This window comes from Homo sapiens, chromosome 13 (assembly GCF_000001405.40).
Source record: "Homo sapiens chromosome 13, GRCh38.p14 Primary Assembly".
NCBI lineage: Eukaryota > Metazoa > Chordata > Mammalia > Primates > Hominidae > Homo > Homo sapiens.
In genome coordinates this window covers 99,525,012-99,548,006 of record NC_000013.11, presented here as the reverse complement: position 1 = coordinate 99,548,006, position 22,995 = coordinate 99,525,012, and the positions used below count along the sequence as shown (strand labels likewise).

General features: G+C 39.5%; 1 protein-coding gene and 1 pseudogene across 1 annotated transcript in view, besides 4 other annotated features; one reads left to right on the top strand and one right to left on the bottom strand.

Moving 5' to 3' along the window:
* TM9SF2 (transmembrane 9 superfamily member 2) overlaps window positions 1-22,995 on the bottom strand; it is a 62,577-nt gene that overhangs the window by 16,042 nt on the left and 23,540 nt on the right. Inside the window, exons 4-11 of the mRNA NM_004800.3 lie at window positions 18,413-18,540; window positions 11,270-11,399; window positions 10,144-10,268; window positions 8,450-8,561; window positions 7,214-7,293; window positions 6,340-6,448; window positions 4,012-4,144; window positions 903-1,022 (exon numbers count right to left, since the gene is read on the bottom strand). Of these exons, the coding sequence (NP_004791.1) occupies window positions 903-1,022; window positions 4,012-4,144; window positions 6,340-6,448; window positions 7,214-7,293; window positions 8,450-8,561; window positions 10,144-10,268; window positions 11,270-11,399; window positions 18,413-18,540 (937 nt within the window). The remainder of the gene's footprint in view (window positions 1-902; window positions 1,023-4,011; window positions 4,145-6,339; window positions 6,449-7,213; window positions 7,294-8,449; window positions 8,562-10,143; window positions 10,269-11,269; window positions 11,400-18,412; window positions 18,541-22,995) is intronic.
* Window positions 1,580-1,729: an enhancer, noted in NCBI's record as "active region_7953". NCBI's record gives its function as "activates an Ori minimal core promoter by ATAC-STARR-seq in GM12878 lymphoblastoid cells {active_cell/tissue: GM12878}" and the evidence as "EXISTENCE:reporter gene assay evidence [ECO:0000049][PMID:35858748]".
* Window positions 4,697-4,756: an enhancer, noted in NCBI's record as "active region_7952". NCBI's record gives its function as "activates an Ori minimal core promoter by ATAC-STARR-seq in GM12878 lymphoblastoid cells {active_cell/tissue: GM12878}" and the evidence as "EXISTENCE:reporter gene assay evidence [ECO:0000049][PMID:35858748]".
* Window positions 5,107-5,176: a silencer, noted in NCBI's record as "silent region_5472". NCBI's record gives its function as "represses an Ori minimal core promoter by ATAC-STARR-seq in GM12878 lymphoblastoid cells {active_cell/tissue: GM12878}" and the evidence as "EXISTENCE:reporter gene assay evidence [ECO:0000049][PMID:35858748]".
* RNY3P6 (RNY3 pseudogene 6) lies at window positions 11,611-11,688 on the top strand (annotated as a pseudogene).
* Window positions 19,308-19,357: a silencer, noted in NCBI's record as "silent region_5471". NCBI's record gives its function as "represses an Ori minimal core promoter by ATAC-STARR-seq in GM12878 lymphoblastoid cells {active_cell/tissue: GM12878}" and the evidence as "EXISTENCE:reporter gene assay evidence [ECO:0000049][PMID:35858748]".

Here is a 22,995-nt window from a genome sequence, read left to right as displayed (position 1 = left end):
AAAATTCACAGAAATTAAAACACACTTAAAACACACATACATACAGGGCTTCACATACTCAAGAGAGAACTGTGTCTGACAAGGTCTAAGTTAATCTTTTACTGGGGGCTGAGACTACCCAACCCCACATTAAGGTTGTCCACGTAACTCTACTGTGCTTCACCTCAAAACTTTTTCACATTGCTAGACCGTGGGGAATCACTGTATATCCCAGACGAGACTGTGGCATTCCCGAGGAGGCCAGCTCTGGTCCCTGCTGACCCTGCCAGCTGCTTTCTAAGCCATCCAGTCCCATCTCAGCCTTACTCTGTGGCCGTGAGCCTTTTGTTTCACTGAACTTTATTTTACTTCTAGAATGCAAGAACACAAGAGATTGTGACTAATGATATTACAAAAGTAACTTTCCAGGTCTCCAAAATAATGAGATCTTTGTTTACTTGAAACAGTGTATTTTTATAAATATTAAATTGATACAATGTAAGTATGACTTCTCATATGTAAGAAAAGGTACACCTAGATGTACTAGTTGTTTTAGTGAAAAAAATCAGTGATACTCATTTGTATACTTTTCTCCTTTATTAGTCTATATGTGCTTCTATGAACACAGCAAATCTAAGCTGTTCAGCCCAACCTGTTAGCCAAAGCTTAAAGAAAAAAAGAGGGAGGGGATAGTGGATAAGTGGCACAATTTGCTTGTTTCACTAAACATTTTCGAACAAATAAATTTTGGGATAGTAACTCATGACACAAAAGGAATCACCAAGCAGGCTCCTTTTAACTAAGAACAGACCCCTATGAGGCACACTATTTACAAAGCATCACCATCTGATACCCAGGTCAGATCCACAGCCGCAGCAGAGTCCCTTCCTGATCAGACGCCAGTCACAGTGGCTTTGACTTACACTTATAGAATCTGGCAGCAACATAGCCTGCAGGGGTGCCCAGCAGCACCCACAGGACCACAGCACACGTCATCAGCGCTCCTCGGTTGGCAGGTGACAAAAATCCCAGGCAAGCGAAAACTAAAACACAAATCGTGAAAGGCTGTACATGTTATTACTCTGTTTCCTTTGCTGTGAAATGATAGAGAAACCCTCTCATTTTTCAAACAAGAAAAAAATACAACTTCACGCAAAACCATGTGCTCTCCTACCATGCAGCTCTACACAATCTTAGTAATATTTACTGTACTGCACCAATCTGATCATACATGAGGCAAACTTCACTTTGGAAGTTTCTTCTCAGAGTCCAGAATGAGAGATCACATCCTTCCTGTGATCAGGGGAGGCTGACTGGATGCTCAAGAGTGCATTTGACTCTTCTGAGATTCAAGTACAGCCTTTAAAATTGACATAAGTGAAAATGTTTCCACTACAAAATATTCCCACTGTTCTTTCATTAAAAAATATGGGGGTCCTCTGGGGGTAAAAAAAAAAAAACCCAAAACCTTACAACATTCAAACAGAAGAGACATATATAATCTAATGAAAGAACAAAATGAGGGAGAAAGATTTCATACGGCCATTAGCTTTTCACAAATTACGGAAGGACCTTGTCAGCAATACGGGGAAACCCTGGCCCTACCTTATTCACGTGGTTAGCTTTGTTTGCTCTTCCCTATGTAAGCCTTCCTACTAATGAGAATTAAAATGCTATATTATATTCATAGAAATTCCCAGCTTTAAGCTGGGGCTCAGAAGTTATAAGGTGCTCAGAATCCCAAGGTGAGTAGGATACTGCTGAGAACTGAGTTTCAGGAGGCTCAGCAAGAAAATCCCCATTGTTTCCCCCCCTATTGTTTCCCCTAAAACGTGCATGACCAAGCACGTATGTGAGCAAGCACGCGCACACACCTCTGACAAGCACCAGAGTCATGATGAGCAGGAAACACATCAGGGTAGCTTTAGAAGATGTACAAGATTTCAGCTAAAATGCAACCCCTTTCTCCTCCTCGACCTGAAAAATGGACTGCCCTTCGGCAGAAAGTTCCTATTTGAGGACTTAAGGAAAATTATTCCCATCGTATTCTATCCTAGACTCTCTGAAACTTTCCTTCCTTAAAAGTTCACTTTTCTAGCTGACCGCAATAAAAACCAGAGCATCGCAGAAGACAGCTCCTAATAAGATTTGAAAGCAGGAGTTGGCTGGGTGTGGTAGCTCACGCCTGTAACCCCAGCACTTTGGGAGGCCGAGGCGGGCGGATCACGAGGTTGAGAGATTGAGACCATCCTGGACAACATGGTGAAACCGTGTCTCTACCAAAAATACAAAAATCAGCCAGGCGTGGTGGCAGGCGCCTGTAATCCCAGCTACTCAGGAGGCTGAGGCAGAAGAATCACTTGGACCTAGGAGGTGGAGGTTTCAGTAAGCCAAGATCACGCCACTGAACTCCAGCCTGGTGACAGAGCGAGGCTCCGTCTCAAAAAAAAAAAGAAAGAAAGAAAGCAGAAGTTTATCTTCAAACATTCATTCTGCTCTAAGTCTAGTTTGGCTCTCTGTCACCCAGTGCCTTCACCCTACCACCCTCTGTCCAAACCTTTTTTATGACACCTTTTCCTGACCTATTCTCTTTAGTATGACTTAACTTCTCTTTAGTATGATATAGTTACAAATTCTAGCTCTACCTATCAAAATTGTATCTCCTTAAGTTGTTAGTAGATTAAAAAAAAAAGATATCCTAGTCAGTCTTCAAACTGAACCTGAAGGTGTGAGTTTGGTTCCCAAACTTATTCAGTGCCAGACATTTGAAAATGATACTGCTCTTTGCAAAGCATTTATATAATTAATTTTATCATAAAAATTTGGAACAACTTTACTAACAAAAATAACTGTGGTATTATGTATTTAATATGTAATCAAACATAAAAAATAAATGTTTACTAAAAAATTATTAAAGGTTAGTTTCTGAATTCTCCCAGTATATTCATTTGTTGCTATTTATCAGTAGCAGGCATCAATAAAGTAAAATACATTAAATAAAGGTAAAATTTAGAAAATTCTATTCATAAACCTTTTTTATCTTCCAATTAAGGAAACTGGAAGACAGTGGAATTAACATATACCCAGAGGTAGTTTCAGAACAATCCCTGTGGCTATCAATACCTCTAAGGAACATTTATTTAAAAAAAAAAATTGTCCTAGTTGGCAAAAATTTAAATACAATTTCTGAAGTCGCTGAGGTAGCTCAAAGAAGAGAATCTTTTTATGGAGGAAGGAAGGTCTTTCCTACACACTCGCTTTCCCTAGAGGAGAGAGATCCTGCTTCCCAAATCCTCCCCAGATGAGAAGGATCTACACAGTGCTTCCTGCCCCATCCCTTCTTTTCCCACCCTCCTCCCTCCGTGGAAGCCAAGAATATCCTGGAACCCTAACCAGACTGTGCCTGCCCACGATGCCTGGGTAAAAGAGACCCTAAATGGTCCCAGTTCTGGGCTGTTTAGACTCAGATGCTGATGGTCTTAAGGACCTGTTCATCTCCAGCCCAGTGCCTCCCTGACAAAGGCTTGGTCTAGGAAGAGCTGAAGGGAGAAACCAAGAGTCAGTCTTTGGGTGCAACTAAACCTGCCCCAAGTCACTTAGATTTTGAGAACCTAAAGGATGCTCAGAAATAATCTGGCTTACCTACCCACTTAGAAAAACTGTGGTGTTTTTTGTTTTTTTTTTTGAGATGGAGTCTTGCACTGTCACCCAGGCTGGAGTGCAGTGGCGCAATCTCAGTTCACTACAACCTCCGCCTCCCAGGTTCAAGCTACTGCCTCAGCCCCACAAGTAGCTGGGATTACAGGCACCTGCCACCATGCCCAGTTTTTGTATTTTTAGTAGAAAGACGGGGTTTCACTATATTGGCCAGTCTGGTCTCAAACTCCTGACCTTGTCATCCACCCGCCTTGGCCTCCCAAAGTGCTAGGATTACAGGCATGAGCCACCATGCCCGGCCAGAAAAACTGGTTTTTAAGCAATTACTGTATTTAGAAAGTATTTTCTACTTGAAAATTTTCAGTTAACACTTACATAGAGTCACAAAGGTCATAATTAAAATCTGTGTCCCGGATCCTAGAAAGACTGATAGCAGCATCCCTTTTCTTGGAGGACGGAATATATCACCATGAACAAGTTTCCAGCCAAATTCTTCCTGGGCATCTTCCTAAAAGGGGAATGAAATCAGTTCGATTGTCTCATGGTATCAACAAGACAACTATAGACAGTTTGTTCACTGTTGAATATGCTGTTACAGAAAACAGGTTTTTTTTAAACTTAAAAATGTTAGTACCTATTTCAATTTTGAAGAATACAGCTTGACTCATGGAGCTTAATATGGCTTTGCTGAACTGTCTTATATGTCAGTTTCTTAAATTTATGACATTAAGGTCTACAAATATACTTATTGAGAAACTTTACAAAGACAATGTGATTGCTACCTAATTCTACTCTAAGTCAAGCTTTGTGATCTGACTTGATGACGATTTTTAGTCACATTCTATCCTCTTCATCCTACTCTTAATGATCTCCACAATAAGCAAATGGCATTAGCTCTCATATTCTAGCTACTTTGCTAATACAGTAAGCATGGATGTAAACATTCATTGAGCACCAACTATAAGCTCGGCTCTGTTTAAAACACCAGATACCACAGTGAGTGTAACAGAAAAATTCCTACTCTCAGGAGTACATGATCTCATTGGGAAGGCAGACAATAAACAAAATAAGTCAGGAAAGTATACTGTACATTAGATGGTAATAAGCGCTGTACAGAAAAACAGGATGTATGGGTGTGTGCAGGACAGGATGTAACATATGTGATGGCTGGGAGGGGTTCAATGGGAAGATCACATTTTGTAAAGATCGGAGGGAGGTAAGGGAACTAGCCATGTAAATGAGGGGCAGACCTTCTTAGCAGATAAAACAGTGAGCTTCGTGAAGGCTCTGAGGTGGAAACCTATGTCTGCCTGGTCTGAGGAACAGCAAGGTAGCCGGCACAGGTGCAGCAGAGTGCTGAGGTAACGTGGGGCCTTAGAAGCCACTGTAAAGCCTCTGACTCTTGCTCTGACTGAACAGAAGTCCCTGGAGGGCCGTGCTCAAGAGTGAAATGATCTGACTTCTGTTTGAGCAGTTTCACTCTGACTGCTGTGCTAAGAGATGGGAAGTAGGACAGGGTTGTGGAAGCAGAGTCACCACTGGCCTGGTTCCACATGGCAACGCTGTGCAAATTAAGATAAAACTCCATTAACAGCAATTATGTGGAACAGCCAATTATAAACAGAGTATTTTAAAATCATTTTAATATTTAATAAGACATAAAATCAATAAAAATCATAGGAAAGAGACTATAGAGTACAAACGTTAAAAGCTTATGAATATTCATATATATTTTCCCCAATCAGAACAGGTCAGAGAGGTTGGGGGACAGGAGGCTGAAGAAGCTGGGGGAAGAGAATACAATAAAAACCTGAGTTTTTTGCATTCATTCCAAATTACTGTGATTCTTGTGAAAATTCTTTTATTATGCTGCCATGAAATGAAGAGTAGAAAATGTGTAACACTGTGCAACTTAAAAAGTTTGAGACTAAAGAGGCTGGAACATGCAATTATTTTAAATATATCAAAAGGTTGAAATGATACAAATTTGTTAAGATTAATTTTAAAAAATTAACCACACAAATAAAAATTGCTTAGGAGTTATTCCATTCAACTTTGTGGTTTCACAAACAGGTATGTGTCAGGGATGGAGAAACCTTACAGAGTTGTAACTGTGCACCTACACCCCACGCTGCACCAGTCCATTCCCACACAGGAGGCTGTGAACAGGTCAGCTCCCAAGGCTGTGCTGACTCCATTTCTATTTTTTTTTTTTTTTTTTGAGACAGAGTCTTGCTCTGTTGCCAGGCTGGAGTGCAGTGGCACGATCTTGGCTCACTGCAGCCTCCGCCTCCTGGGTTCAAGCAATTCTCCTGCCTCAGCCTCCCGAGGTAGCTGGGGCTACAGGTCCCCACCACCACACCCAGCTAATTTTTGTGTTTTTAGGAGAGATGGGGTTTCACCATGTTGGTCAGGCTGGTCTTGAACTCCTGACCTCAGGTGATCCGCCCACCCCGGCCTCCCAAAGTGCTGGGATTACAGGTGTGAGCCACCGCGCCCAGCCAAGAATATTAATTCTTAAGTATCACTTTCTTATTTGAAAATGTGAATTCAAGATAACTTTTGAGAAGAATTTTTTTGTTTTTGTTTTTGTTTTTTGAAGAATGTTTTAAAAGCAGATTCTAAAGCTATTATTTTACCTTTTTGCAAAATAACAATAAACAGTGTCCTTGGCAGACTAAAGACTAAAATGTTTCCACTTACCGTAGAGTCCATCTGATTATATCTAGCAATATCTTTGTGCAGTGTCCGTAACATAATCATAGCTACCATTCCAGATAAGAAGAGAACAATGACCAGGGAATTCATAATGCTGTAGAAATAAGCACATCATGAGTAATCTGTAGCTTAATCCTAGGAACAGTAAAACTCTTTTAAAAACTGTTTATTGAGTAACATTAAAACAGTCTTGATCAAAATCAAAATGAAAGCTATCTGAAATCCAACAAATTCAATGAACTGTGTTCTTTCATGTTTCCCTCCAGTAGATAAATAACATTATATACTTATCATAATACAGTTTCATAGTCTGTTTAGAACTAGAATTTTTTGGTACATGGTCAATATTATGAAATAACTACTGTGCCCAAATCACTGCCACAACAAAGGACTGGCTTGTGCCCTCAAGAAATTTACTGAAGAACAACTTTACTCAGTAAATTAGTGAGTGTCAAAAAGATCAGACAGCAATAGGAAAAGGAGAGTTATGGCAACATGAACAACTCTAGATAAAAGTTTTGAATCATGTTTGAAGGGGATAATAATAAAGTCATAGCAACAACAGCGGCTTCTGTTTCTGAACACTCTTATGTGCCAGACAATGTCCTCAAATATTCTGTCCCATGATGTCCTTTAATCCTCACAACAATCCCATAAGGTGGGTATTTCTAGATAAAGAAACAGACGCTGAGAAATTAAGGGACCTGCTGTGACTCACAATCAGTGGCTGAAAGCCAGGATTTGAACCCAAGGCCAGACTTTTGAATAAAGTAGAGAGGATTTGAGAGTAAATGAGATGTTCAAAGGGACAGAGGGTAGAAAAGTAGAAAGCAAAAGCAGGCTAACTCTGTACTCTTACCTAAACCACTGAATGTGGGTATGAGGCATAGACTCCAGAATATAGTCCCATCTAGACGCCCATCTGATCTTATCATCTTCCTAGAGGAGATTAAAAAATCTCTTTAAGTAAACATCTGCTGACAGCACATTAAGAACAAAAAAAAATCCCATTCAAAGCTTGTCCTTCCATTGAGTCAACAACTGCAATTTCTAAATTATCTAACTTTGGTTAGTCCTGAGATTTGGAGAGTTTCAGATTTACTAAAGTCTAGGGGAAATCAGAGTAAGATTATGCAACCAAAAAAAAAAAAAAAAAAGAATTCCTAGTAATACCTACTAAAAGTATTGCTTTAAATTATAACTAGATGTTTAGATGTCAACATTTAGACCTATATGTAGGTTTTTTTTTTTTTTTTAAGAAAATAATGGAATGGAATGGAATAATTATTCTTTTCTTTATGCCGGGGGCAGCTAACCAGACCAGTCATTCCAGGCACACTGAGCTCTTAATATCTAGAAATATATACTATTTACTGCACCAGGTTTGCAAAATGAAACATTATACGGGGATATTAAACATCACAACTATATTGGATTGCCAAAAGTTTTAAAAAATAGAGTTGGAACACTGCCTAAGATTCTTGCATTTTAATGATAAACTTGCATTTTAAGAAACTTCGCTAATAAAAATACTCCCTTCAATTTTCTAAGACAATCTCCCAATCGGAAACTCTTCATTTAAAGTTCATAATTAAATCTTGATTTTAAAAATGGTGAAAAAATAAAGGTAGAATACTAAGATTCTCATAACAATGAATTTGCATTTTAAGAAACTTCGTTAATGAAAACACTCCCTTCAATTTTCTAAGACAATCTACCAATTGGAAGCTCTCCATTTAAAGTTCACACTTAAATCCTTTAAAGTACGGTGTTGATTTCCCAAATGGTTTCTGAATATATCTCTGGCATTTCCATCCCGTCCTCTAGGCCTGTTTTCTACTTTTGTCTTATATGTATCTCTTATGCTTAACACTAAATCAGGCTCAAGTCTTCAACTTCCTCTATATTCTCATTTAAACTAAGACTCAGTTACAAGAGTGATTATGTTGCTTGGTACACCGACAAACTATCCTAAAAATCAGCTCATTAATAGCTTCTTTATTTGACAAGCATAATCAGTAACATTTTAATTAGTTTAAGTAGTACAAATTTAAAATCAATTTCAGAGTTATACTAAAGATAACAACAGACTCACCTCGAAGCTAACAGAGTAAGTATAGGCAATTTTTATCTCCCCAGAAGCCTTGTTACTTATGTCCATGGGGGGCCCTGAGCAGTCTGGTTTATCTATATGGGTATGTTTGAAGCTGTGGGAAGAAACATTTTGGCAAGATGCTGATAAAGTACAACTTTTTAAAAATGAGGTAAAGGTTACAGATTTTGTACGTATTTTAAAATGCTGCTGACAAAGGTGAAATTATTCATGTCACACTTAATAGCATAAATATTTACATCATATGTGTACAAAATTATAAACATACTTTTGAAAACACTATACTTGAAGAGCATTTAAATAATCTTTTTTTTTTTCTTTTTTTTTTTTGGGACAGGGTCTTGCTCTCTTACCCAGGCCTGAGTGCGGTGGTGCCATCACAGTTCAATGCAGCCTCAAACTCCTGGGCTCAAGTGATCCTCCCACCTCAGTCTCCCAAGTAGATGGGACTACAGGTGTGTGCCACCACACCCCACGCCCAGCTAATTTTTCATTTTTTGTAGAAACAAGGTCTTGCTATGTTGCCCAGGCTGGTCTTGAACTCCTGGGCTCAAGCAATCCTACTGCCTCAGCCTCTCAAAGTGCTGGGATTACAACATGAGCCACCATGCCTGGCCTTTTTTGTTTTTTGTTTTGTTTTTGAGACAAGGTCTTGCTTTGTCACCCAGGCTGGTGTGCAGTAGTGTGATCTTGGCTCACTGCAGCTTCAAACTCCTGGGTTCAAGTGATCCTCCCACTTCAGCCTCCTACAGGCACGGGCCACAGTGCCCAGTTAATTTTTAAATTTTCTGTAGAGACAGGGTCTCACTATGTTGCCCAGGCTGGTCTTGAACTCCTGGGCTCAAGTGATCCTCTCACTTCAGCTTCCTACAGGCACATGCCACCATGCCCAGCGAATTCATTTTCTGTAGAGACAGGGTCTCATTATGTTGCCTAGGCTGGTCTTGAACTCCTGGCCTCAAGTGATCCTCCTGCCTTGGCCTTCCCAAAGTGTTCAGATTACAGGTGCGAGCCACTGTGCCTGGCTAAATAATCTTATTTAAAAAAAAAAAATACTGATGAAGTTTAACTGCCATCTTATTATGGCATGTATTTCTTGACCACCAGTGCATGAGAAAAAGGCTAATTCAATGGCAGAAAAAGTCGTGAAAAAAAATGAAATATTTAAAAAAAAAATCTCATAAATAACTGATATGTACGTTCGTGATAAAAAATAATAAGTTGAAGAGATCTCTTTCAATGGCTCGTATTTCATAGTGGCATCTAACACTGCATAGGGGCTTGAGAAATCACAGTACTTGTCCACTCATTTGGGCCTCTGACCAGAGGAAAGCCACACATTATCTGAGGCAGTGTTCTTTCCACCACGAAGGGGACCACTGTCCCAACCACTCAACTTCTCCCTCCCCACTGACACGTGGAAAAGCTGTCAAAACCTCCTGACTGAAAAACAAAACACTAAGGCACCTTGGCTTGACCGCTTATCATGACAGGAAAATAACTATTGGTATGGTTTTCTGGACAACCCATAACAATAACAAATCATGCCAAAGGGAGTTTTAGTGAAATCAATCCTGAAATGTCAGAATATTAAGGAGTAATTGAGCCCCAAATACTTATTCTTTGGGTCTAAATTTCACTTATACTTGTTTACTTTTTATCATTAATATAATTACCTTTTCGGTTCAAGTTTAGCAGCCACTAATCTTGCTCCCATGGACCCAGTTTCAACAACATGATAGTATATTTTGATGTCAACATGGTTGAAGATGTAAAATGTATCTCTTTCATGGAAATCTGACTGCAGAACAGAACTTAAAAGTTAAAGGTAGAAAACTGACTACATAAGAGTCAAAACTTAAAACTTTAAAATGGGCTACAACAAGTAAGAAAATTTAAGTTTGAATGGAATTTTAAGCCTTTCACATTAACATGTTTCAATTTTATACTTAAACTCTTTTTAAGCCAAAAATTAATTGGGGAAGGTATATGCTTCTTACAGTTTTTTTACATAAAATCTAATAAGTACCAATTCAAAAGAACACTAATCTAGTATTTTCTAGCCTTTCATTTAAAATGAAACAAAATAAAATTTAAAATATTATGAGCACACTAATGCTTATACATTTAAACACTTTTCCTGCCTGGAAGCTTATAAGTTTGGACTAAACTCATAACCTAAATTATTCAAGTATCTCTGGTCAGCACTCACAAAAGCACTAACTGATATAATCAGTTTCATGATTAACTCATGCTACCTTCCACTGAATCAGATCCATTAAGAGATTTAAATCAGGTTGATCTGATTACACAAAATTCATTTTAATATATATCCCCACCTAGTTCTAATTACCTTCTATAGTAATGTCTCTATTTGATTAATCTATTTTTAAATATAATAATGGCCTCAAAGACACATAGGTCTTAAAAAGGTTATAATATCTGACTTCTGCAATACAAATTTAGTTAACTTATAATGAAGCCTTTTTTGACACTCTACTATGTACATTTTGTAATATATAAGATTTATGAGAGTTAGGACAAACTTCTAGACCTTACCATAGCATTTAACATACAACAGACAATCTCAGTAAATGTTGAACTGAATCTGAATTATTCCAATTCTAAACCTCAACTTATACATTATTAATCTGCTGTAAGTTTAAGATTGAAGTAGTTGTACTTCAGAACATCTGAACTGTACACTCATTCAATGAATATAACAATTTTTGTCCAGGTAAAGACTGAATTCTATCAAAAGCCATGTTTTAAAAAGCAGCAAAGAGTTTATCATGAACTTACACTAATAACACAGGCATCTTTTGCATGGCCTTTATCTGTAATGTAACAGCCAATAGGAAATCCAGGATTACAGAACCTCTGACCATCTTCAACATCGTAACACCACGTTACAGGCATATTATCCACAATCCTACACATGGAAAGAGGAGTTAAGTTAGAAAAGAACCCACCAAACATGACAAAGAATTACTGCCCAAATCAGTGTCATCACTTTGTAAAATTTAAATGTGTAAATGCCTTAAGATTACAAAAACCACAAAGAATGTTAATGAAATGTGCTATTTCATAAGCAATAACAATATGCCAGTATCTGATACACTGCAGTGATGGAAAAAACTACAGGCTGGTCCGAGTGCAGTGGTGTTTACAACTAATTGATCACAACCAGGTACAGCACTGCTTCATTTGACTAGCCTTAAAAAAAGAAAAAAAAAAAAACAAAAAAAACTTCGTACCTTTTTTGAAAGGATAAATGGTAGGTAGGAAAGAGTTTTATAAACTAATTTATTGTAATTGCTAATTTAACAATACTATTTAGACACTTCACTGTAATTTACCTTTAGCAGAATACTCACAGCTCTAAATAGGTACACAAAGCAATATATCTAGTTCCTCAGGAACAGTTTATTAGACAGTAGAGAAGGAAATGCCTCTTATTACTCAGGTTATTCAATAAAAAAGGAATACAATTGCAAGATATAGGAAAACATTAAACTAAAGAGCCAGGAGGAAAAGTGAAAGCTATACAAAAAAATTCTGTGAAAACTATAAATCCAAGTTATTTCTAAAAGAAATACTGTTGCAAAGCTAGCGAACCAAATCTTTCAAGTTCTATAGTGAAAAAGGACTTAAATAATAAAAGCAGAAAATAAAGTTCTGTAGCACCATATAACTACATTACAGTCCAAGCATGTGGCCCCCTGCGCCCAGAGTACACTGCGGGATACAAATAAAAAAACTACTCAAAATATAGCAGCTATATTACAGTCATAAGACGACACTCCAGGGCATGTTTTATTTGTTAATTAATGTGTGCCTTAGGAAGTAAAATTATGATTCTATATTCACCCAAGGTGTACCTTAATGACCTAATAAAACATGTCTCGTCACCTTTAAATGCTATTTAACAGTACCCAGTGTACAAAATTTTAGAATCACCTATACTATTAAACTGCTTATTATTATAATCAGCAGGCTAGTGGTTCCAATGAAAAGACTATAAAATATTAGAAGCATAAACGCATTGTTATATAGAATAAATAATTCAGATTTTCTGAAAGCTTAACGAATCCGTTAATTGCTTTAATTTTTTAGATAGAGATGAAGTTCAATTAATGAATATATACTAGCAATATATAGTATCTTCATGCTACCATACTGGAGGGAAAGTACTACATAAAAATTATAGTGCTAGTTACAAAATGAGAAATTAAAGCACAATTTAGGTTTTATAAAAGCCAACATCCTAAATGTATCATTTATATAATACCTTGACACAATAGCTTTTTCTGGTAATAGGAAGCATTTAAAAAAAAATCCCTTTGAAATAAATTTAAGAAAACTTAAAGGATATCTTTTTTTCCCTCGAGACAGGGTCTTGCTCTGTCACCCAGGCTGGAGTGCAGTAGCATGATCATGGCTTTCTGCAGCCTCAACCTCCCAGGCTCAAGTGATCCTCCCATCTGTGCCTCCCAAGTAGCTGGGACTACAGGTGCATGCCATCACACCTGGCTAATTTTTAAATATTTTTTGTAGAGTTGGGGTCTCACTATGTTGCCAGGGCTGGTCTCAAACTCCTGGGCTCAAGTGGTCCTCCTACCCTGGTCTCCCAAAGTGCTGGGATTACAGGTGTGAGCCACCACGCCTGGCCAAAGAATATGATTTTCAATTACTGTCTTCCTAAATTAACAAGTAGTATTTATTTAAATTTCTAATATCAAAAAAATTAAAACTCTTATTTCCAATCTGACAGACTGAATAATGGGAAGAAGACTCGCAAGGATAAAGGCTGAATGACTCCCAACTTTTTATCACGAAGAACTCCTTTCCTTTACTTCTGTCTGCTCTCCAAGGACTCCATTTGAAACAGTTCTACCAATCAAGCTTCACTTAGTAACTACTTGTTTTTCCAATAAATTAATTCCAAAAGTTTCTAATCAGAATAACCCATATTGTCACAATGCACTCAGAAAATTACAGCCCAAAGCAAAGAAAGTTGGCATTTAACAAGTTGGCATTTTTTTTTCTTTTCTTTTTTTTGCAGTTGCAAGATTTAATAGAGTGAAAACAGAGCTCCCATACAAAGGGAGGTGACCCAAAGAGGGTAGCCCACAGTTGGCATTTCTATGTAGTTTTAACATGAGTACATTTGGAGTATTCATTAGGATTTTGAATTTTTGAAAACAGCACATCATTCTCCTTTGCTAACTTGGTGGGATCTGGGATTGGAACTCACTAAAGTATCTTCAAGACCCCTTTATAATTCAATAAGCTATAGTCCAGTGGTTCTATGATACTAAGAAATGGTAAGTACTCTGATAACTAGTTAATTATATTTTTATAAATAAAATGTCATCAAGATTTGGAAATTCAGGCAAGAAGTATAATCACAAACCACACAGAGCACAGCTGAAGAGAGTTTTAAGTGTCCAGTGCTGGTATCAAAGCAATAGTTTCAGGAATCACAAAATAGCTTAGCAGCTACTGACAGAGTAAGCCAAAAAGATCCTCAAATTATGTGCTAAAGCCCCAAATAAGAATAAAAAGTATGGCCAGGAGCGGTGGCTCGCGCCTGTAATCCCAGCACTTTGGGAGGCCAAGGTGGGTAGATCAAGAGGTCAGGAGTTCGAGAGCAGCCTGGCCAACATAGTGAAATCCCGTCTCTACTAAAAATACAAAAATTAGCCAGGCGTGGTGGCGGGCACCTGCAGTCCCAGCTACTCAGGAGGCGGAGGTGGAGGCAGAGGCAGGAGAATCACTTGAACCCAGGAGGCTGAGGTTGCAGTGAGTCGAGACTGTGCCACTGCACTCCAGCCTGGGAGACAGAGCGAGACTCTGTCTCAACAACAACAACAAATAAAAAAATAAAAAGTATTCGTCAATTTATATAAGAAACTATTATTAACTGTTCTTTATAGTGAGAATAATAAACTACAGCACGGTTCCAATGTCATGGGTGAGAAATTATGATTGATTCATGCAGTGAATTATGAAATTATGGAAAAGACGGAGGAGGTTATAGATTTACAATGTTACTTGACCTGAAAAAAGTCCATAATATTTTCTTAAATAAAATGAGCAAGTTGCAGAATAACGTGTACAATATTTTAGTTGCATTATTTTAAAAAGGGACACACCCTTTTCTATACCTCCATATGCATAGTAAATATAGAAACACACATGAGAAATAATAGTGTTAGTTCTGTAGAATAGAAATGAGGCTGAGACTGACAGAAGACTTACTTTTACTTAATATTTTCTTGTACTGCTTGTGTTTTCTCATCGGCATGTATTGCTTTATGATTTAGAAAATGATTATGCTCTCCCTAGTATGTCTTAGTGCAAAGTATAAAATAAAATGTGCTATATTCACAAACTCCCTAACAGAATACTGTAAATTCCCATGGGTACATGGTATTTTATGTGTCAACTCTACTGTCTATGCTTAAAATCAAGTTATACAGTAAAATCTCTCTGAAATAGGTCATGGACAGAATATACTCAAATAATGGTTTCAATAAATTCATCAATGTGAATCAACATTTTCCAAATGTATACTGAACTGATTTAAGGGTTACACTTAAAATCATCAACTTTTCTGATTCAACTGCAAAATCATTATTTACCAGCACTTTCTCAGGTAATTTTTTTAAAGCAGAATAGTTGAAGTTTGCAATTGATATGCTGATTACAAATCATTCAGTAAATTTTACTGTCTGATGCTTGCTTAGTTTGTACACTACTGTATTTATTCTTTCTTGTTATTAAGCATCTTGGCATTATAATGAAATCTTTGTTAACTGCATCATAAATTAGTTAAAAATATCTCTAAGTACTTTCCTGTCAGGAGGCTACTGAAGAACTGCTTCTACTACCTTCAGGAGCAAGACTAAACAGTATTCTTTGGTTCAAGCAATTCTCCTGCCTCAGCCTCCCGAGTAGCTGGGATTACAGGCGCCTGCCACCACACCTGGCTAATTTTTGTATTTTTAGTAGAGATGGGGTTTCGCCATGTTGGCCAGGCTGGTCTCGAACTCCTGGCCTCAGGTGATCTGCCTGCCTTGGCCTCCCAAAATGCTGGGATTATAGGCATGAGCCACGGTGCCGGGCTGACTAAACAGTATTCTAAGCACAGAGGGTAGAAGAAAGAGCTAAAAAATCACCCACAAGGCCGGGCGCGGTGGCTCACACTTGTAATCCCAGCACTTTGGGAGGCAGAGGCGGGCGGATCACGAGGTCAGGAGATCGAGACCATCCTGGCTAACACAGTGAAACCCCGTCTCTACTAAAAATACAAAAAATTAGCCGGCATGGTGGCGGGCGCCTGTAGTCCCAGCTACTCGGGAGGCTGAGGCAGGAGAATGGCGTGGACCCGGGAGGCGGAGCTTGCAGTGAGCCGAGATTGCGCCACTGCACTCCAGCCTGGGTGACAGAACGAGATTCCGTCTCAAAAAAAAAGAAAAAAAAAAAATCATCCACAGACCTTAACAGTCATTCTTTCAGTTAGTCAACAAACTGATAGCTATTGCAGTAAACGCAGGTGGATAGGGCTAATATGAGAAGATAAGAACTGAGGCTTAAATATTATTTTGAAGATTACAAAGAAAAACAACAAGGAAATTTCAATTACTTAACAATAAGTAAACATATCCCAGGTTGATATGCAATTGATATGCATTGATCTAGCAAATAAGCAGTATTTCTATGGTAGTTTAGGGGAAACAAGCTCTTCGTTTACCAGAAATGAAAGAAATGGGGAGACAAAGGAGTCTTTAAAGTTCCTATTTGCACTGAGGGTCAGATGACAAAGAAGCTGACACAAGCATAACAGGCAGGTTTCTAACAGCACCATCTCCCTCCTTCCAACAGAGCCCCACTAGCCTACACAGAACCCATTCTTATGGGGTTCAGGTAGATGTTACCCAGGTCTGGTCAGTCAGAATGAATCCTTCCCATCACAAACTAGCTCATGGCTGTGCACAGGACTCAGCAACCCAGGGTTCTATGCATATGGGGGTTGGGTGGGGTGGAGGAGGAGGAAAACTAAGGGGTAGGAGGGAATGCGAGGCCACAGGATCTGGTCAGGTCTCAGCTGAGATCCACGGTTCCTAACCTTATTGGCGTGAGCAAACAATGTGATCTAATATACTGACAGGACAAATATCCAAAAGGAAGTGCATGAACACAGTCCTCCTGTTCGCCACTGAAAGCATCTTACACTTTCTAGAAAAGGCAAAACATATGTAAACTATGATCCCCACAGAATATAGGCATTTCCAAGCAAAATTACTCAGAAGAATAGCAATGGTTATACTTCAAATGTTGGATTTTGAAAGTCTTTAAAAATATTCTATGTTTGACCGGGCGCAGTGGCTCACACCTATAATTCCAGCACTTTGGGAGGCTGAGAGGGGCGGATCTCTTAAGGTCAGGAGTTCGAGACCAGCCTGGCCAACATGGTAAAACCCCGTGTCTACTAAAACTATAAAAATTAGCCAGGTGTGGTGGCGGGCACATGTAATCCCAGCTACTCAGGCGGCTAAAATGCAAGAATCACTTGACCCCAGGAGACGGAGGTTGCAGTGAGCCGAGATCACGCCACAGCACTCCAGTCTGGGGAACAGTGAGAGACTCCATCTCAGAAAAAAAAAAAAAATTCTATGTTTGAATATTGTATAATAAGTATATACTACTTTGGAAGGAAAAACAGGACAGTTTTAAATACTTTTTGATTCTGATACAAACTGGTACAGAATTTGTTAATGTTATGTCATGTTTACAAAATGAAAGGCTAAGCAAAATGTAAGCGTTTTATTTGAAGTTGATGCTATTTATCAAACAAAAGTTAAGTTTTGTTTTCCTGTGATTTTTTTCATAGCCCACAAGTATAAAACAATGTTTTCACTAGAAGACTGACCCAGGTCCTTTTCCCCAAAGCATAATATGCTACTGTTAACTATTCAGGCATACTTCGTTTTATTGCACTTCACTTTATTGTGCTTTGCAGATATGGTGTTTTTTAGAAATTGAAGGTTTGTGGCATCCTTGCGTTAAGCAAATCTATCAGTGCCATTCTTTCTTTTTTTTTTATTTTTGAGACAGAGTCTTGCTCTGTCGCCCAGGCGGGAGTGCAGTGGCACGATCTCAGCTCACTGCAAGCTCCGCCTCTGGGGTTCACGCCATTCTCCTGCCTCAGCCTCCCAAGTAGTTGGGACTACAGGAGCCCATCACCACACCTGGCTAATTTTTTGTATTTTTAGTAGAGATGGGGTTTCATCGTGTTAGCCAGGATGGTCTCGATCTCCTGACCTCGTGATCCAACCGCCTCAGCCTCCCAAGTGCTGGGATTACAGGCGTGAGCCACCATGCCTATATCAGTGCCATTTTTTCAACAGCATGTGTTCACTTTCTGTCTTTGTGTCAGCCTTTTTTTTTTTTGTAAGCAATAATGTATTTTTTAATTAAGGTACTTACAGAGTTGTTTTAGACATAATGTTATTGCACACTTAATAGACTATATGTAGTATAAACATAACTTTTATATGCACTGGGAAACCAAGAAAAACTTTATGTGACTCACTTTATTGTGTTATTTGCTTTATTGCAGTGGCATGGAACTGAACCTCAGTATCCCCAAGGTATGCCTGTATGTGAATAAAAATAACTACTCTATGTACCAGATCTATGTATCAAAAGAAGTACCAGATATTACAGTAATCTAAACACAGTTAAAAGATGATACTTTAAATGATGTTGTCATCTTTAACTAAGAGTCACTACTTCAAGCTACGACCACTAGTAACAAAAAAAAGGAAATCAATTAATTTGCTATATTTTACACAATCAAGTAATTTATATAGTCAAAGCAACAAAGATTTCATATGGAAAGGATAAACCCCAAAATCGAAAATATTCATGCCTTACCAGTGATGTTGATAATTCAATAACATGCTTTTTTTCAAGAATTCTAACTTTTGTTTGTCTTCAGCTTTCTCTGTATGGTATGTTTTTGTACAAACAAGCTTACAGGTCTCCTTCTTATTAAACGTAAACTGTATTAAAAGGAAGTGGAAAGCAAATTCAGAAAAAATATCCAGGTTTTTCATACCAATATCACAAATAGAGTAAAAGTGCTGGTCCCATTAAATTACTTAAGTGCATTAATATTGGTAATAAATAAATTTTTAAATTCCTCATAGCTCAATCAGATTTAAATTTTAATCCTACTGTGTTTCTCTAAAGACTCGTCATCAAGTTTTCCTTTGATACGTTCTTTTTGGTAATTTCAATCGACTTACCTTTTAAATGTAAATAAGTTCTAGAAGAGAAAAAAAAATCCCATGTAGAACAAAAATGGAACTTTAGTCTCTCCTAGTAATATCCCATGGTCATGTCTTAGGAATTCTGGAGTTAATGGCTTTCTAGTAACAAGCAGACAAATTTTTATGTTCAAATAATCAACAGATGTTAAGTGCCCTCCTTAAGTGTCAGGTGATAGAGATTCAGCAGTGAACAAGAGAGCATGTGACATTCAGATGTCTAAAATCAGGCTAAACATGACTCCAGAAGGCTGAAATTTACCAGCTATACAACCAGCCATAATTCCATCTTTTAATAAATTCAAACTTTATTACATAAGGTGATTAAAAAAATGGCATGGTTCACTTCTAAGCAGCCCACTCTTTTGTATGTATGTATTTATTAACATCCCTAAAGCAGGTGCAGTGAAGCAGCTAAGTGAATGTTTAAGCATAGTCCACTGCTGCCACCTGTCAGCCAATGTTTTCATTCTGTCTGCATTGCTATTTCCAATACAGCCATATCTGTACCACTAGTTGATATTTTAAACCTTATATGAACCTTAAAGATTCATTCTTAAAAAGTGGAAAATGGAAAAACAAAAAAGTATACACACTAAGAAATCAGAAGCACAGACACCAAACTTAAAATAAGTTAAGCAGAGAGACAATATTACACCAAAATGGCAAATCTGACACCTCAATCCAGTGCTCACTTCATTAGGTGAGTCAACCTGTGTGTTCAATTGTGAAGGAAATAGCAAGACTAAGGTGACATTAATGTAGTAATAGGTAACATCTGTTTAGTGCTTCCTATGTTCCATGTACTTTGTATATATCAAGCCTCATGTAATCCTCCAAACAACCCTTATTCATCTTTTACAGATGAGAAAACTGGAGCACCAAGTCACACAACTGAGCATCGGCATAGCCAGGATCTGAGCCAAGTGAGTTGAGCTCCGGAGAACATGCTCTTCAGCACAACACCCTGCAGCCTCTCCCTGTCATGTGTTTAGTTGGGAATTTTATAATATTTTAAATCATGTTTGGTTATGGATGGAATTGTATTTTATTTATGTTTTGCTAAGGATTTTTAAATATTCTTAGCTCCCAAGGGAAACAAATCCTCCTTATAACACGCAAGCACAGCACTGTTCTGTTTCTATTCGGGAAAACGTGGGATTATAATTTTTCCTAAATTATTTCAGTGAGGATTTAACCTTCTCCTTGGAATAATTCTGAAAATCAAAATATCAATCTAGAGTCAGACCTGGGTACGAGTCAACTCCATCTTGTTAGGAGACCAGGGAAAGCTGCGTAACCCTGCCTCAGCTTCAGTTAACTTATGTGTAAAATGGGCGCAGTAACTGCCTTGCAGGGTTGTTGGATTAAATACAGAAACGTGTGTGCAAAACACCTAGCATGCTGACTGATGAAAATAGGTATTCACTAAATAACAGTTATTGTTATGTATCTCACCACCAGCTTTTAGCAAATAGCAGAAAAATTATATCAAAGTCCATATCTGAGGGAAATCATATAAGGCTGCACACTTCTGGCAAGACTTCTCCTCCATGCAGCCTGAGACCATCAGGATTGATGTGGTTTGGCTCAGTGTCCCCACCCAAATCTTATCTCCAATTGTGATCTGAATTGTAATCCCCACGTGTTGGGGGAGGGACCTCGTGGGAGGTGATTAGATCATGGGGGGCGGTACCCCACGCTGTTCTTGTGATAGTGAGTGAGCTCTCACAAGATCTGATGGTTTTATAAGGGGCTTTCTCCGATTCACTCTGCACTTCTCTTTTCTGCCGCCACATGAAGAAGGACATGGTTGCCTCCCCTTCTGCCATGATTGTTTTCCTGAGGCCTCCCCAGCCATATGGAACTGTGAGTCAATTAAACCACTTTTCTTTATAAGTTACCCAGCCTCTGGTATTTCTTCACAGCAGCGTCAGAACGGACTACTACCCACTAGGACTAATGGGCAGGACTAATCCCATTATGCCCTCTACCCTCTGAATATTAGTCACCACCAGAAGTCCAGGATTTCCATGTCATCCTTCCATTCCCACATATGAATCCCAAAATGTATCCCCCCTCAACTGCTTAATCCCTTCCACTATGCCCTGAAACTCATGTGTCACCAGCAGAACACCCTCTAGTTCCTCAACCTCTTCTCAGAATGTTTTCTGGAGCCTGTTCTGATGAAAACCTGGCTGTCCCTGACGGATGCTGCCTCACTGGAGTCTTGCTGGTGGTGCCTGTTTTCTCTCATAGGCCCCAGCGCTGGGCCAGACCATTCTCCCTCCTCCAGAAACCTCTAGCTTTGACTCCCATGTGATCAGACCACACCGCCCCTACTCCTTCCTGTTCTTGTCATCTACCAACCCCAGGTCACTGGCCCTCAGCTCCTGGCTCACTGTCACTGCAACACTCCTCCTCGCTCCTGATTCTTGGTGATTACATCTATATCAACGATCCTTCCAAAACAATGACCTTTTGATCCTCTGCCCTCTCCTCCAGCGACTCTGGTCTTCATCCAATTTCAAAGCACTCCCTCCTCTGGTCGCATTCCACCCTGCCTTTATCAATGACAGCAGTCCCAGCCATTATCTCCATTTCAAGCTTCCCAGTGTCAAACCACCTCCTCCCGTTGTTCCAACTCACTGGCTCAAATGTTCATCACCTCCAACAAGCCCTGGACTCCACTTAAATCGACAGATCCTACAGTCTTTTCACTGTCTCTTACTCCTTTTGTGGCCTCACATGCCCCCTGTGCAAGCTCAAACTCCAAGCTCAACAGTATCTCCATCTTTCATAACATCCAAAGATGTCCTCACATCCTGTGTTCTTCTCTCACTTTTTTGGTATTCACTTGTTAAAACCACAAACCTGGTTAAATCCAACTCAGCAGCACAGCTGGAAATAGCTGGAGATACACAATTAAGCACGCTGGCTGCTGTTACTTCAAACCACCAGCTGGCCAGAGGGTCCCTGATGCAGCCTAGCAGCCGCTCCACACTCCTGCTCTATTAGCTCTCCTGGATCCTACTTGGCTGCTGCCTCCCTCCTCACTCACAGGTGGGGTGGCCATGCTGCCTACTTCACTGAGGAATCAGGAGCAATTGCCACATTTACCTCCCAGCATCATGCCCCATGTCTCTGCCTTCCCTCCAGTTACCACGGATGAACGAGCTCACTGAGGCCAACCTCTCCAACAGTACACTAGGTCCCATCCCTTCTTGCCAGAGCAAGGACACCCACGGCAATCCTTCCCTCTCCTAAATCATCACTTTTCCCGTATCTACTGATCACACTCATCCACATACACACCTTGCTTAAAGATCTATCACAAGTCCTCCTGGCCGGGCGCGGTGGCTCACGCCTGTAATCCCAGCACTTTGGGAGGCCGAGGCAGGCAGATCACGAGGTCCGGAGATCGAGATCATCCTGGCTAACACAGTGAAACCCCATCTCTACTAAAAATACAAAAAATAAGCTGGGCGTAGTGGCGGGCGCCTATAGTCCCAGCTACTTGGGAGGCTGAGGCAGGAGAATGGTGTGAACTCGGCAGGTGGAGCTTGCAGTAAGCCGAGATCACGCCACTGCACTCCAGCCTGGGCTACAGAGCAAGACTCTGTCTCAAAAAAAAAAAAAAAAAAAATCTATCATAAGTCCTCTTTGGGGCGGGTGCCTTGGCTTATTCCCAGCACTTTGGGAGGCCAAGGTGGGCAGATCACCTAAGGTCGGGAGTTTGAGACCAGCCTGGCCAACATGGCAAAGCCCTGTCCCTACTAAAAATACAAAAATTAACTAGGTGTGGTGGCAGGCACCTGTAATCCCAGCTGCTCGGGAGGCTAAGGCAAGAGAAGCACTGGAGCCTCGGAGGTGGAGGTTGCAGTGAGCTGAGATCACAACACTGCACTCAAGCCTGGACAACAGAGTAAGACTGTCTCTAAACAAACAAACAAACAAACAAACAGTCCTCTTTGAACCACGCCATCCTCCAGTTTCCACTCTTTTTCTCACTGCCAGTAAAATAAAAGTCCTCAAGACAGTTGTAGATGTGTCCACCTGCAAATGCTCTTTCCATTCTCTCTCCACCTGGCTATTCTATCACGGCTGCTTTCACATCAATGACCTCAACATTGAAGGCTAAACCCAAGGTCAATCCTCTGTCCTTATCTCACCTGACCCATCAGTGAC